Raw genomic sequence first — 17,232 nt, forward strand, 5'->3', positions numbered from 1 at the left:
ACACAAGGGTGTCAATACCAGGAGGTGCAGATTATTGGGAGTTGTTTTATAAGCTGCCTACCACACCCAACGTCAAATTTTACCTCTGATTTCAAGGATAAAAACAATCCTGAGGTAGAAGTGAAACAAGAAGAGGTGTGGGATCTCCACTATAGCTCCCTGGTTATTTTCTTGCCAAATTAGGGCATGCTCTGGCCCAGGTTAACATAGGAGACTCTAAATAGTGTGTGGCTTAGATGGACACTTGCATAGATGGACTATTTGTATACTCGGTTACAAAGCCCACCAGAGAAACATACTTTCAAATCCATAAATTGTGAACAACCATGGTGCATCCTATTAAAAGCCTCTCATAGGTGAGGACTCTCACCTAGCAAATACCATGTTTGTTTCCCTGGAGATCTGTCATTAATATGTTTTCTAGGAGATTTGACCATATCACTTTTATTGGGGTGGAGGGAGCGCAGGGCATCCTCTTCCCTACCTCCCACCCCTGTACCACACAAAGAACGAATGGACTGTGGTTTAGCCTTTTGCTTCCCAAACTCAATAAATATTTGTATGAATAAACTCATTTAGCCCATAGAACAACTCATGAAAGAGGTTCTCATATTAGGAAACTCTTTCTCAGAGACTTTGAGGTAGATTATGTCGATGATTTCTCAGTTTAGTAAGTACCAGGCCTGGGATTTATGCTTAGATCTTTCTGACTCTAGAACTCATTCTTGCCAGTGTGCCCTGATCCAGCTGTTTACATCTAATGGATTACATCTAATAGCGCAGACCTGCAGCTCCCATGCAGGGCTTCTAGAATGCATGAGAGCCAGTTACTGGGAGAAGAAAGGTAGATGTCTTCAAATTTGTTGACATTTGTGGTCATGAAGACGAACTAGTATATGCATTTTCTTTCTTTGGACTAGGAGAGATAGACATCCTGTAGTTGTTCCATCACTGCTTTTAGAAAGTCAGGAATCTTAGGTTTGAATTGGACTTTGTCACTAATGACCGTGTACCCTTGGACAAGTCTTTAACTTCTCTAAGCCTCAGTTTCTTCTCTGGTAAAATGGGGTTAATTGTATCTAACTCTTATTTCCTGGAAGTATAATTTTAGGTAGCAGTACCACTTTGATTTGCGGTTTCTTTTTATTCTTAATGTGTTACAATTTACCTTTTTTTTTTTTAATTCTTTTCAGGGGACAAAGTTGATAGAATTTAATGATTTCTACCCTTTCTCTGTGAACCCCATAAATCCTTGTTCTTAGTCAGTGCTAGAAGCTTTCCATGCAATACGTATTAGCCAGCTTGGTTTCTCTCTAATTACTTACAGTGAACTTCATTTGTCACTGTTGGGCCTGACATGGTATACCTGTTTGTTATTTGAGATCTTAAGGTGCAGATGACTTTCTTTTCCCCAGAATATTTCCAAACCTGTTCTTTTTTCCTTTTTTAAATCTAGTATAGAATCGTCAGACATTCCATAAGTCAGAGATACCCTTTTTCTTGGAATAAGCTCTCCTTTGTACCATGTTGTGCAGGAGGAACAGAACAGTTGGACTCAGATCCCTTATGGCTGTCTTTCTGCACCTGCATAACAGACTGCACTGTTCTCCCCCAGTGACATGAAATCTTGGGGATGGTTGTCATAGGTAAGGCTGAGGTATAGGGAGAATAGAAGGAGATACAGGGCGGGAAAAAGAGAGGACTGTGCGATAGTAGAGCGTAACCAACAAATGTCTCCCTTTCTCCACTTCTTGATTATTGTATTGTGAGCAGTGACTAGCATATCAGTAGTCAGAGTTGTAGAGTTTTAGATCCTAAAGGGACATAAATCAGTCAATTGTATAATGTAGAAATAAGAAAATGTAGTAAATAGTGATTTATTTTATCTAAAGTTATACAGCTAATAGCTAATAGTACAACAGGACTAGAACCCAGTTCTTTTGACTCTAAATCTGGTGTTTTTTCTTTCTTCTTCTTCTCTTTTTTTTTTTTTTTTTTTTTTTTTGTGACTGAGTGTCTGTGACTCTGTCGCCCAGAGTGGAGTGCAGTGGCGCGATCTTGGCTCACTGCAACCTCTGCCTCCCGGGTTCAAGTGATTCTCTTGTCTCAGCCTCCTGAGTAGTTGGAACTACAGGGTGCGCCACCATACCTGGCTAATTTTTGTACTTTTAGCAGAGACGGGGTTTTGCCATGTTGGCCAGACTGGTCTCAAACTCCTGACCTCAGGTGATCCACCCGCCTGGATCCCAAAGTGCTGGGGTTACAGGCGTGAACCACTGCGCCTGGCCAAGTTTGGAGTTTTATCTGCTGAAACAGCTTCTAGTGTTCACTCACCAAATATTTGTTGTGCATGTTTTAGGGACACATGACACATGACACATGCCCTCAAATTTAATAAGATAAGGACATATACTGATATTGGTAGTATTAGGATGTATGTTAAATAAGGTAAGAGTGAAACAAAAGATATAGGTCTTAAAAACATAGTTTTTTTAAAAAACTTATTTTTAATAACTTGTAGTACAAAAATAATGCTTACTAACTGTACAGATTCTAGACAATAATGACAAAACAATTAAAATCACCTAAAATCCACCACTTAGAAATGTTTTTTTCGTGTATGTCTGCATATATTTTTTCTAGTTACAAAAATGGGATTGTTCTAAATAAACTTTTTGTAACCTAACTTGTAACATGGAGAACCAGGCTAAGAGAACTGAGGGTGGCTAGGCAGTTGTGAATAGCGTATCACAGACCATGGTAGGACAATAGTGGGAAGGATGAATGAGCAAAGTTTAAGGGACAATTAAAGACCCAACTAGAATGGAGTTGATGGGTTGGAGAATCTGAATTTGAGTGGTAGAAGGCAAATTATTGCTAGAATGGCAGGGCTTTTTTCCTGCCTCTGGCTCTAGTTTGTTTGAAGGTTATTTCAGTGGAAGAATTAACTGGTACACCCAAGCCAATGGACTGGATTCCTATTTTAACTAGAAATACTAGTGAGCTGCAGGATGTGGAGATAAGCTTTCTGATATCAGCTAGACAATCATGACCAATCTGTTGAGTATTCTTGTTTCTGGAGGGAATTCTGGTATAACTGAAAAAGTGGTGGATTTAGAGGTTTAAAGTCTCTGATATTAGTAACCAGCTGATTTTAGGCCAACCTCTTGGGCTCTCAGAAATACTATTTTGTATTGCTACTTCCTACTGGTTGCTTGCTTTTAAGATCTGCAAGTTTATATATTAATACAAAAAATGTTTTTCATAAATTTGGAAGAGCTGCATAAATTAAATATAGTATTGATATTGATGGCAAAAATGAAATTTTGTTTCAGATGCTTGTTATCGGGCGGCTAGACTCTGTTAAAATAGTTCATCATGGTGACTAGTTAATAATACTGTATTGTATTCTTGAAAAATGCTGAGAGTGGATGTTAAATGTTCTCACCACAAAAATGATAACTCTGTGAGGTAATGCATATTTTAATTAGCTAGACTTAACTATTCCACAATGTGTGTATACTAAGACACAATGTGTATACTCTAAGATATCATGTTGTACATGATAAATATAATTTATCGATTTGAAATAAATATGTTTTGAAAACAAATCTGTCTAAATATAGAATTTTAAAGTGTAGATCTTTTTTTTTGAGGTGGAGTCTCACTCTGTCTCCAGGCTGGAGTGCAGTGGCGCGATCTCTGCTCACTGCAACCTCTGCCTCCCAGGTGCAAACAATTCTCCTGCCTTGGCCTCTCGAGTAGCTGGGACTACAGCCGTGTGCCACCACTCCCAGCTAAGTTTTGTATTTTTAGTAGAGACAGGGTTTCACCATGTTGGCCAGGATGGTCTCGATCTCTTGACCTCATGATCCACCTGCCTCGGCCTCCCAAAGTGCTGGGATTACAGGCCTGAGCCACCGCGCTTGGCCTAAAGTGTAGATCTTTTGAAGAACACTTATTTCTTATATGTTTAGCCTTGGGCCTTGAATATTGCTTTTGAAATCTAAAAGCTTGCTCATGGGTAAATAGACTTTGTTCTTGCAAGCATTTTTTAAAAAAGTGAAATGTTCTTATGCCTTCTTTTAAAAAGTGCTTTTATTCTAGAATAAAAGCTTACTGGGGAACTTTTGGTATTAGCGTGTGGGAGATAACTTGTGGTTTATGTTTTAGGGAAAAGATGTGTGTAATGTAAAATAGGTAAAATGGCCAGTAATCTTTTTAATGGGTGCTTGCCTTATGGATTTGACTTTGGGCATTTTCCATTTTCCATTGGGAGTCTTTTTCTTCTAAAATTCCACTGTTACTATTTGTCTTAACCTTGTGTAGCCTTCTATATATATTCTGTTAGCTGTGGCTTTAAAAGGTTTGATCATGGGCCCTTTGTGACTTTAGTCCTGACTCATCCTCCCAGGTGCTCCCTGGGAATGAGTAGATGAGATGGACAGAGGTGTGACTAGCCTTATTATTCCTTTCTAGGAGTCAGTTGGAACATGAGAGAACATTGAGTGAATGCCTTTTTGGTCTCCTAGGTTCTCTTACTCTTTGCCAAAGTTCTTGCCCTATGTAGATTTGTGGGCCTATTTATTTCATCTTGCCATCTATGAACTTGAATATAGAGTATTAAAAGGATTGACTGTTGCCTAGCCCTCAGCTCACTGTTCTCTGTCCTTATGGTTCCAAACAGAATAAGCCTTTCTACTTCTGAAGGTAATTCGCTTAACCTCAAGAGTCTGGCTGCCTCAAGGGCGTTTTGGAAGTGTACTGCTTAGGAGTCAGCATTAACTGATTCCTGTCCTCTTTGGACCTGCAATCTTTCCTTGGTGGAGTGTGAGAGCTTCAGAAGTTACGACATCTCTCCATTATCTTGTCTGCTCAGTGTGTCACCTCACTGCTTCATGTGCTAGTGAATGCTGCCTTCATACATGGTTTGGTCCCATACTGCTTAGGGGTCTGCTTTAAATTCATAATTTTGTTAGTGAACGAAGATGAAGATCTTTGAGTCATATTATTTTGTGTTAAAATACTATGAGGAAGGTATTTGGTATTAGTCTTTCAGTTCTAAAACAGATAATTGGTGAAAGTAGTAAATTGTATGTTCAGCCTCCCTCTGTCCCCTGTCTGTTGACTAGAAAAAGCAAGTAGGTGTGAAGAAGATGAAAGTATCCACTGGACTCTCAAATGGTGCCTTATCCCATGGAAAACTCGACTACCCCATCTATATCCCTTCCCCTAATGTCGGACAAATTCCTAATTATTCTTTAGGTCTTAGTTTAGATGTTGGTTTCTCCAGGCAGTGCCACCTCTCAGTATGTCAAAGCCAGTTTTTCCTTCCAGCATTTGATGATAAAATTCTACTTACATATTGGTGGTATTCAATCTCTGTATGCAGAGACATTCTGGGGCCTCTAAAAGCAGGCTCTAATGTACCTTTCTAGCAATCTTTCCTGCTGTTTGTGTACGCTGGCTTCAGTGGAATTTCTCTTTTTCTTATTCACTCTTTAATACATTTTCCTTGTATTTTCTGGCTTCCACTCCCTTGTTCATGCCATTCTCCTCCTTTGTAGTACCTTATTCTCTTCACTACTTTAGATGCTAATGACTTCCGGCTGCATGGATGGTTTAGTCCAATACTGCCTAGGGGGACAGCTTTAAACTTGTATTTCTTTTCCATCTTCAAGGCCCACCTGAAATTTCATTTCATATTCTATGACATGTTTTTGTTTTTCTCTGGCTAACCCTGAGTGGCCTCTTTTCCTTTCTGAGTTGGTGTTTATTGCCCATGGTTGTCCTTTAGCACCTACTTATTTACTGTTTTGTGACTGTTCTCTTGACTGTTTTACTTGTGTGTTTGTTTTTTCTAGTTAACAGGAACATTAGATCACTGGAGACAGGGATTTTCATCTTCTGTTTCTTTATGTTCTTTACAGTTCATGCCCACCCACCACAAAGTTTCTCAGTAAAAAGTTTATTTGCTTCTCACATTTTATAGTATGAATCCTGGTGAGAGTGCTTTGAGATTTTTTCTTCTTTTTATTTAAAAAATTTCTCCAAGTATCCGTTGTGTTCTCTGTTTTACTGCTTGTATGTAATGGCTGACATTAAGGTATTGGGAAAATCTGTATGCAAGTAGCACAAGAAGCTTAGTAACTACAGGATGTCTTGTGGCCCATGTCAGTACAAATTTCTGAAGATGCAGCAGGAAATAAGATTTTACTAGGTGAGGGAAGAGAAGTAACATGGATTGGAGGCAAGCATTTTACTTGAACAGTTCTATTTCTTTCTTTTTTTTTTGAGACGGAATCTTGCTCTGTTGCCCAGGCTGGAGTGCAGTGGCATGATCTCAGCTCACTGCAACCTCCATCTCCTGGGTTGAAGCAATTCTCCTACCTCAGCCTCCCTAGTAGCTGAGATTACAGGCACCTGCCACCATGCCCAGCTAATTTTTGCATTTTTAGTAGAGACAGGGTTTCACCACGTTGGCCACACTGATCTCAAACTCCTGACCTCGGGTTATTCACCCGCCTCGGCCTCCCAAAGTGCTGGAATTACATGCATGAGCCACCGCACCCGGCCGAACAGATCTATTTCTTATAACTAATGCTTCAGAACAATTTTACTTCCAAGGTGTAAATAAAATCCCCAGGAAGAGGAATTGATTTTTTTTTAAAAAAAGTATATATTGGGTGCTGTATTTATTCAAAGATTAACTTTATTATGATCCTCTAGTGGCTTGAGTGAGAAATTGTCTCCTTGTTATATGGGTAGAGAGCTATTTAAGAAAATCTCTTTAATTGATTTCTTTCTTAGAATTTAGATCATCATCTGTGGAACAGCCTAAAAGTCACTGGGAATGATAACTAGTGATGAAAATGATATGAGGTGTTCAGAGCCCTAGTTTTCTGTTATCAGAGATTAAAAGCCAGTCTCTGACATTTATGGTTAGACAAAAATGGTTTCCATGTTTACCTATGCATCACTCTGTTAAAATGTAAAATGCAGATTGCATTGATGTGTTAAAGATTTTGTTTCTTTTTGTTTAGGTACAAAGAGGATGGTGAAGCTTTGCTAATTTTGCTACCCTCAGAAAAAGCTATGGTGCAGCAGCTTCTTCAGAAGAAAGTACCTGTGAAGGAAATCAAGTAAGAGCTACTTGTTGTCTTTATGTTTTTAGGAAAATGAGGGCATGAAATTGTTTGCTTAATTATGTGCACCTAATTTGCCCCTTCCCCTAATTTATTCAACTGCCTGGTTTGACTTTTATAAAAAGGCTCTTTTTAGAACAGTTTTAGGTTCACAGGAAAATTGAGAGGAAGATAGATTTCTCATATACCCCATTCCCCAAACATGCACAGCCTCTGCCATTATCAACGTCCCCCACCAGAATACATCTGCTACAATTGATGAACCTATGTTGATGTTATTCACCAAGGTCCATAGTTTACACTAGGGTTCATTCTTGGTGGTGTCCATTCTGTGTGCTTGCACAAATGTGTAATGATGCATACCTACCATTTTAATATCATATGGCAGTTTTCACTGCTCTAAAAATCCTGTGCTCTGCCTATTTATTCCCCTCCCCTCCCCCTGAACCTCTGACAACTACTGATCTTTTTACTGTCTCTATAGTTTTATTTCCAGAATGTCATATATTATAGTTGGAATTATACGGTACCTAGCCTTTTCATATTGGCTTCTTTCACTTAGTAGTATGCATTTAAGTTTCCTCCATGTCTTTTCATGGCTTCATAGTACATTTCCTTTTAGTACTGAATAACATTTCATTGTCTGGACGCAACAGTTTTTATTCACCTACTGAAGGAGATTTTTTTGTTAGTTTTGTTTTGACCTTGTTTATATAACCAGCTATAGCCTGGTTATAAAAAGGACAGATTTGTATTGATTTTATGCAAATAACCACATTGCCATAAAGGCTAGTAAGTTGTCTGAATTCTGAGGGGTCAGGGAGAATAAGGTGCTATATAAAGAATGTCATTTATAGGTTACTAAATAGAGGGTTAAAGATAGATCAAGAAGAGAAAAGATCTTTTCATTCCCTTAATAAAAATATGTTAAACCACATCAGTAATATTAAAACCAAAAAGCTACAATTAGATTCTTCTCAGCAGTTCCCTTAATCCTACTTAAGTCTTATAACTAGTGGATGTTGGATTAACGTTCAGCTTTCAAAGGTCTGAAGGACATCTTAATTGCTTCCAAGCTTTGGCAGTTATTAGTAAACCTGCTATAAACATCCATGTGAAGGTTTTTGTGTAGACCTAAGTTTTCAACTCCTTTGGATAAATATTACCAAGGAGCTTGATTGCTGGGTCAGAAGGTAAGAATATGTTTCATTTTGTAAGAAGCTGCCAAACTGTCTTCCAAAGTGGCTACACCATTTTGAATTCCTGCCAGCAATTAATGAGAGTTCCTGTTGCTCCACATTCTTGCCAGCATTTGTAGATATTCTTTATCAAGGTGAGGAAATTGTCCTCTATTCCTAGTTTACTGAGTTAAAAAAAAAAAAAAAAAAGATCATGAGTGGATATTGGATTTTGTTAAAAAAAATTTTTTTTTTAAAATCTGATGAGATCATGTGATTTTTTTTTTTTCTTTTTTAGCCTGGTGATGTGATGGAGTACATTAAGGTCTTTTTTTTTTTTTTTTGGAATGTTAAACCAGCCTTGCATTCCTGGGATAATTCTCACTTGGTTATGATGTATAATGATTTTTATATCTTGTTGGATTCAATGTGCTAATATTTTGTTAGATTTATACCTAAATGTTTCATTTTTGGGAGTGCTAATAATGTAAATGGTATTGTTTTTAGTTTCAAATTCCATTTATTTATTGCTGGTAAATTGGTGTTCATAGTATTTTTTTTTTTTTTGAGACAGAGTCTTGCTCTGTCGTTCAGGCTAGAGTGCAGTCTTGCAATCTTGGCTCACTGGAACCTCTACCTCCTGGGTTCAGGCAATTCTCATGCCTCAGCCTCCCAAGAAGCTAGAATTACAGGCATGTGCCACCATGCCTGGCTAAATTTTGTATTTTTAGTAGAGATGGGGTCTTGCCATGTTGGCCAGGCTGGTCTCGAACTCCTGGCCTCAAACAATCTGCCTGCCTTGGCCTCCCAAATTTGTTCATAGTAGTCTTTTTATCCTTTTGATGTCTGTGGGTTTTGTGGTGATGTTCCCTTTTTCATTTGTGATAAAAACAGGAAAGTGATTAGCTTTTGTATATTAATCTTCAATCTTGTAGTCTTGCTATGATTGCTTATTAGTCTAGAAGTTTCTTTGTCCATTCTTTTCGATTTCCTATATAGATGATCATGGATCTGTGAACAAAGCCAGTTTTATTTCTTTCCCAATCGGTATGCCTTTTATTTCCTTTTCTTGTCTTATTGCATTAATTAGGACTTCTAGAATGATGTTGGACAGCAGTGGTGAGAGGGGACATCATTGCTTTTTTCCTGATCTTAGCGGGAGAGCTTCCAGTTTCTCACCATGAAGTATGATATTAGCAGTAGGTTTTTTGTATTTGTTGAGGACTTGCATCTATCATTATGAGTGATATTGGTCTGTAGTTTTTTCTCCCCTGTAGTGGCCTCATAGAATGAGTTAGGAAGTATTCCCTCTGACTCTGTCTTCTGAAAGAGATTATAGGAAATTGGCATTTCTTTCTTAAATGTTTGGTAGAATTTATGGGCGAGCCCATCCGGGCTTGGTGATTTCTGTTTTGGAAGGTTATGAATTATTGATTCAATTTTTTTAATAGATAGTAGCCTATTGAGAGTGTTTATTTCTTGTAAGAGTTTGGCAGATTTTGTCATTCAAGGAATTGGTCCATTTCATCTAGGTTATCAAATATGTGGGCATAGAGGTGTTCATAATCTTTTTATCCTTTTTATGTCCATGGGATTTGTAATGATATTCCTTCTTTCATTTCTAATAATAACTTGTATCCTTTTGTTTTCTTAGTATGGTTATAGGCTTATGACTTTTTTTAGTTGTTTATTTTTTTCAAAGAACCAGCTCTTGGTTTAATTTTTTCCCCCCTATTGATTTCCTGTTTTCAATTTCAGTCATTTCTACTCTAGTTCTTATTTATTCTGCTTGCTTTTGATTTAATTTACCCCTTTTCTGTTTCCCAAGTTGGAACTGTAGATGATTGATTTTTAGGTACTTTCTTTCTAATACAGTCATATGTTGCTTAATGATGGGAATAAGTGTGAGCAATGGATCATTAATTTTAGGCTATATGGTATAGCCTATTGCATTTAGGCTGCAAACCTTTATAGCATGAATACTGTACATGCTGTACACTGAATACTGTGGGCAATTGAACACAATGGTAGGTATTTGTGTATCTAAGCATGTCTAAACATAGAAAAGGCACAGTAAAAATACAGTATAAAAGATAAAAAGCATACCTGCATAGGGCACTTACCACAGTGCTTGCAGGACTGGAAGTTGCTCTGGGTGTCAGTGAGTGGTGCATGAATGTGAAGAGTTAGCACATTACTGTATACAAGTGTAGACTTGGTAAACACTGTACACGTAGGCTACACTAAACTTTTTTTCTTCAGTAACCTTAGCTTGCTGTAACTTTTTTTGTTTTATAAACTTTCAGCTTCTTGATTCTTTTGTAATTACACTTAGCTTAAAACCCACATTATACAGCTACACAAAAATATTTTCTTTATATCTTTACTCTACAAGCTTTTTTTGGTTAAAAATATTTGTTTTCCCTTAAAACTTTTTTTTTTTTAAATGGAGCCTAGGCCTACACAGGGTCAGGATCATTAATATCACTGTCTTTCATTTTCACATCGTCCCACTAGAAGGCCTTCAGGGGCAGTAACATGCATGGAGCTGTCATCATTTATGATAACAATGCCTCCTTCTTTAGTACTTCCTGAGGGACCTGCCTGAGGGTGTTTTTATAAGTAGAAGGAAAATACTGTAAAATAAAAAGTATGGTGAATAAATCAGTAATAGTTGTTTATCATTTTCAAGTATTATGTACCATACCTAACTGTAAGTGCCTGTCAGTGCAGTGTGTTTGCCTACACCAGCATCACCATAAACACATGAGTAATGTATTGCCCTATAGTGTTATGATGGCTGCGACATCACTAGGTGATAGAAATTTTTCAGCTTCACTAGCACACTGCAGCCTCAGTCTCCTAGGCCTAAGTGATCCTCCCGAGTAGCCTGCGCCACCATGCCTGGTTAATTTGTTTTATTGTTAGTAGAGACAAGGTCTCACTATGTTGCTGAGGCAGATCTTGAACTCCTGAGCTCAAGCAGTCCTCCTGCCTTGGCCTCCCAAAGTGCTAGAATTACAGGTGTGAGCCATTGCTCCTGGCTGTCATTACAGTCTTATGAGACCACTGTTGTATATGCAGTCCATCACTGACTGACACATCATTATGTGGCCCATGACTGTATATGCATTCAGTGCTATAAATTTCCCTCTAAGTACTGCTTTTGTTGCATTCCACAAAGTTTGCTAAGTTATTTTCATTTTTATTTAATTCAAGAGAAATTTTAAAGTATTTTGATTTTGTTTTGACTTGTGTTATTCAGAGGTGTGTTTAATCTCCATGTATTTTAGAATTTTCCAGTTACCTTTCTGCTATTTCTATGTTATGTTATGACAGAGTTTTGATCTGTCGCCCAGGCTGGAGTGCAGTGGCACGATCTCGGCTCACTACAACCTCCACCTCCTGGGTTCAAGCAATTCTCCTGCCTCAGCCTCCTGAGTAGCTGGGATTACAGACACGTGCCGCCATGCCTGGCTAATTTTTGTATTTTTAGTAGACGTGGGGTTTCGCCATGTTGGCCAGGCTGGTTTTGAACTCCCGACCCCAGGTGATCTGCCCTCCTCGGCCTCCCAAAGTACTGAGATTACAGGTGTGAGCCATTGTGCCTGGCCTCTGTTATTTCTAGTTTAATTCCATTGTGGTCTGAAAGCAGATATTGTATGATTTATATTATTTTAATTTTGTTAAGATGTGTTTTATGGCCCAGAATGTGTTTTATTTTGGTGAATGTTCCATGTGAGCTTGAGAAGATGTGTATTATGTTGTTGGATAAAGTAGTCTCTAGATGGCTGTTGTGTCCAGTTGATTGATGGTATTGTTGAGTTCAACTATGTTCTTACTGACTTTCTGCCTGCTGGATTTGTCTATTCCTGATAGTAGGGTGTTGAAGTCTCTAATTATAACAGTGGATTCATCTTTCTGGTTGCAATTCTATCAGTATTTGCCTCACATAGTTTGATGCTGTATTGTTAGGAGCCTATACGTTAAGGATTGTTGCCTTTTTGGAGAATTGACTTCTTTATCATTATGTCATGCCATTTATCCCTGATAAGTTTATTGCTTGGAAGTCTGCTCTGTCTGACATTAGTATAGCTATTTTTGCTTTCTTTTGATTAGTGTTAGCATGATATATTTTTTATCAAACCACTTTCATTAATTTATGTGTCTTTATATTGAAAGTTGGTTTATTGTAGACAACATACAGTTGGGTCTTGTTTTTTGATCCACTCTGACAACATCTCTTTTAATTGATGCATTTAGGCTATTGATGTTGAAAGTGATTTTTGATATAGTTGGATGAATATCTAATGTATTCGTTACTGTTTTTTGTTAGTTGCCCCTGTTATTCTTACTTTTGTCTCCTCTCTTTCAGCCTCTTGTGATTCTGAGCATTTTATGACTGTTTTCTCTCCTTAGCATACCAGTTTTTTTTTTCTTTTTCACTTTTTTTAGTGATTGCTCTAATGTTTTTGCAAGTAATCCAAAGCCCATTTTGAAATAATGACATAATGCTACAGCACTTCACAGGTAGTGTGAGTACCTTATAACGTAATTCTGATTTCTCCCTCGTGTCCCTTATATCATTGATGTCATTCATTTCACTTATGTAAAGCATACATAAGCGTATATACATAAGATATATACATAAACATACATAATTAAACACGCTGGGGCTATTAATTTGAAAAAACTTAGATTAAGAATAAGAAAAATTTTATTTTACCATCATTTATTCCTTTGATGTGCTCTTCCTTTGTTATGAAGATCTGAGTTTCTCACTTACGTTTTTTTTTTTCTCTCTAAAGAACTTTTAAACATATTTTGCAAGGCAATTCTACTGGCAATAAGTTTTGTCAATTTTTGTTTGTCTGAAAAAGTGTTTCTCTTTCACTTTTGAAGGATAATTTTGTGGGATACAGAGTTCCAGGCTGGTGGTTTTTCTCTCTCCACACTTTAAATATTTCATTTCACTCTCTCCTTGCTTGCATGGTGTCTGAGAAATCAGGTGTAATTCCTGTCTTTGTTCCTCTATAGATGAGGTGCCCCCCGTCCACTTCTTTCAGGATTAAAAAAATATTTAATTTTCTGTAGTTTGACAGTGATATGCCTAGGTATAGTCTCAGTCTGTCTTTTTCTGTCTCTCCCTCTCGCTTGGGCATTTGTCCTGCTTGGAGCTTTCTGAGCTCTTGGATCTGTGGTTTGGTGTCTGACATGAGTTTGGGGGAAATTCTGAGTCATTACTGTTTGAAGCATTGCTTCTGTTTCTGTTCTCTTTCTGATATTCAGAAAGAACATCATGTGTATGTTCACTTTTTGTAGTTGTTCCATAGTCCTTGAAGTTCTGTTGTGTTGTTTTCAGTCAGGTTTGGAAGTTTTTATCAAGTTCAGAGATTCTTCCCTCAGCTGTGTCCAATCTAGTAATGAACCCATCAAAGGTATTAGTAATATGTGTTACAGTTCTTTTTGTTCTCTCGCATTTCTTTTCGGTTCTTTCTTAGGATTTCCATCTTATTATGTTGCTCATCTGTGCATGCTGCCTGTTTTATCTATTAGAATCCCTAGCATATGAGTCACTGTTAGTTTAAATTACATTTCTGGCCTAATGCTTCCAACATCCCTGCCATGTCTGGTTATGATGCTTGCTCTGTCTCTTCAAATTATGTTTTTTGCTTTTAGTATGTCTTGTAATGTTTTTCATGATAGATACGATGTACCAGGTATTATAAAAAGAATTGCTGTAAATAGGCCTTTAGTGATGTTAGTGCTGTGGTGGTAAGGTGTGAGAGGGTGGGGGCTGTGAGGAAAGCATTCTTAAGACCTATAGTAGGTCTCAGTCTTTTTGTGAGCCTATGCCTCCGGACTGTGAACTTTACAAATTCTTTTCAGTCTCTGCCTTCCCATCACCCCAACTTAAGTGGGAAAGGATGGCTAGAGTTGGGCATTTCCCTCCCCTCAGGTCAGTTAGGCTCAGATAAAACCCTAAGAGGCTTGACTTTCATTAACAAGGCCCACCCTCAGGAGAAACTAGTTAAGAACAGAGTGCTCAGGCATATTTCAAAATGGTTCATTTTCCCCTTGTTTTGCTGAAAGCATGAGGGAATTTTTCTGATATTTACTGTGAGAACTTGGTTGAGCTCCTGGAGTAAAACTCATGAGTGTGGGGCTGCCTTATGAATGGGTCCTCCTGGAGTTTTTATTTCTCAGACTTGTCCACATTGAGGCTCCAGCAGGTTTTATCAATTACAGTTGAGGGTCTCTCACCCAGGCACTGCCTCCCCCAGTTGTTTCTGCTCATGACTCAGCTCAAGTAAGCTGTGATCCCTGTACTCACCTCTCTCTTTCCTGTGTTGGGACTGTGGTTTGTCCTGTGTTGTCCATCTTTATCATGGATAAAAGAAGAGTTTTAAATTTTTTTTTCCAATCTGTTCAGCTTTTTACTTATTGTTATGATGGAGTGATGACTTACAAGCTCCATCCATAGGGAACTGGATATCAGAAGTCTGACTCTTTTTTTTTTTTTTTTAAAGTCTTAAACGGCCTTTTCTGAAGACTATTAGTGGAGAACATGAGATGGAGAACTTGTTAACTTCAGGAAGCACTGATGATTGAAAGAATGAAATCTCTTGGATGGAATTACTTTTGGGGTTGTCTATCCATTTCAGAGAGTTGTGATCTCCTGTCACTAAGGATGTGTACATTCAGCATCAGTGGGATCCATCAGAATCTTACTTGTATTGGCGCTGTTGAAACACCCTGGCTTGATTTGCCTAAAAATAATTTGGAGAGTGGTTAGATTTGGGGAGGAGAGTTGAGGATGTAGAAGAGACAAAACTGGCTGTGACTTGGTAATTGTTGAGGCTGAGTGAAAGTCTCTAACTTTTCTTTTGTATATTTTGAAATTTTTTATAATAAAAATAAGTAAAAACAATCTCACCTACCACCACCTATCACCATTCTGGCTTTGCAGAAACAACGTGGTTCAGCCTAAAATCAGAGAAACAATGAGGTCTCTTTTGTGAAGCCTAGACCTCTTTAAAATTTTTTTTTTCTTTCCCTGTAGCTTATCTGGGCAGAGTTAGATATCATCTCTGTTATAGTATGCCTAATTTCTAAATAAGGAAATCACTACAATCTTTGGCTACTTGTTTATTACTTGAAATTGATTTTATGATATTTGACTGAAACAGAAACATTTATAAAAATGACATTAGGGCTAGGCATGGTGGCTCACACCTGTAACTCAGCACTTTGGGAATCCAAGGCAGAAGGATTGCTTGAGGCCAGGAGTTCCAGACCAGCCTGGGCAAAACAGTGAGACCATGTCTCTGCAAAAGAAAAAGCAAACAACAGACTAGCCGTGCATGTTGGTGCAAGCCTGTAGTCCTAGCTACTTGAGAAGCTGAGATGGGGGAGGGTCACTTGAGTCCAGGGGTTCAAGGTTACAGTGAGCTATGATTGCACCACTACACTCCAGCCTCACTGAGGGAGCGGGGTGAGACCTCTTAAAAAAATTAGATTTAATTTATTCCATTTCATATAGAATGGATCTCTCATGGGAGACTACTTTCTATCTGTTGAGTTAAGTAGCCAATGCTAACTGTGGTGTTAATCCAAGTATTTCACTCAGCATGGGATGTTTGGAGAAAGTGTCTGACATGTCATTTCTTTCTCCTGTGTTATTCATAGTAGGTAAGAGTGTCAAACTTATGTCTAGTTTAATTTCCGTCTAATCTGATTCATAGATGAGAAATAGTTATACATTTAAAAATACTGAGGAAAATAGGAAAATGCTGCTTACTATTTTTAGTCTCCAAATTTGAGATATCTTATTTTAACCTTTATCTTTTTGTTACAAAGAATCAATCCAGAAAAACTTATAGATGTCCAGAAAAAATTGGAATCTATTTTAGCTCAAGATCAAGATTTAAAAGAAAGAGCTCAAAGGGTAAGTCATTTTTCAGTTGGATACTTTCATTGACTGGAAAAACAGTAAAGTTTATCATTTTCTGCTACTTCTAGGTTGCATGTTTATGCTTCAGATATTCAAGCAGTGTAATTTGCTGACAGATAAGTCTAGCTTATTTTTTTTTTTGAGATGGAGTCTCACTCTGTAGCCCTAGCTGGAGTGCAGTGGCATGATCTCAGCTCACTACAACCTCTGTCTCCCAGGCTCAAGTGATTCTTGTGCCTCAGCCTCCCGGGTAGCTGGGACTACAGGTGTGCGCCACTACCACACCTGGCTAATTTTTTTGTATTGTAGTAGAGACAGGGTTTTCTCCATGTTGCCCAGAGTGGTCTTGAACTCCTGAGCTCAGGTGAACTGCCTTGGCCTCCAAAAGTTCTGGGATTACAGGCGTGAGCCACTACGCCTGGCCAGTCTAGCTTATTCTTTAAAATTTTGAAAAATATTTTTTATATATATGGATTGGGAAAAATCATCGTAAGTTTTTTCAAAGACATATGGAAAATCCTCTCAAATGTGATTTTTTGGATGCACAGTGGCCTGATTTCTAATACTTGATAACATTATTAAGTTTTTATTTCTTTTGTAAAATTGCTATAACTCCTGATTGTACTTTCTTGACTGTGAGATTAATATCTTCCTACATTAGATTAAATTTCTAGAAAGCATAGAACTGCAGCCAAATTATCTTTAGGAATGAGATTTTAACTTACGTTTATGACTTGTTGTTCCCCAATTACTTTTCTGGACTTAAAGATCTTGATTAGCAAATACATAAAGAAGTCAATATTTAGTTTTATTTTTCTTAATTGATAAATTATATTTCTGGTATGTAACATGTTTTGAAACAAATATACATTGTGTAATTGCTAAATGAAGCTAACTAGCATAGGTATTACCTCACATACTTGTGGTGAGAAATCTATTTTAGTTAAACTTTTTT

General features: G+C 37.7%; 1 protein-coding gene and 1 long non-coding RNA gene across 2 annotated transcripts in view; one reads left to right on the forward strand and one right to left on the reverse strand.

The window, feature by feature from the left end:
* Window positions 1-17,232, forward strand: part of DDX10 (DEAD-box helicase 10) — a 275,859-nt gene that overhangs the window by 34,627 nt on the left and 224,000 nt on the right. The window contains exons 10-11 of the mRNA NM_004398.4: window positions 7,044-7,142; window positions 16,184-16,271. Of these exons, the coding sequence (NP_004389.2) occupies window positions 7,044-7,142; window positions 16,184-16,271 (187 nt within the window). The remainder of the gene's footprint in view (window positions 1-7,043; window positions 7,143-16,183; window positions 16,272-17,232) is intronic.
* The window catches only part of LOC124902750 (uncharacterized), an 80,188-nt gene that overhangs the window by 189 nt on the left and 62,767 nt on the right, over window positions 1-17,232 (reverse strand). The window lies entirely within an intron of this gene.

The sequence above is a fragment of the Homo sapiens genome, chromosome 11 (assembly GCF_000001405.40).
Source record: "Homo sapiens chromosome 11, GRCh38.p14 Primary Assembly".
In the NCBI taxonomy this organism is placed as follows: domain Eukaryota; kingdom Metazoa; phylum Chordata; class Mammalia; order Primates; family Hominidae; genus Homo; species Homo sapiens.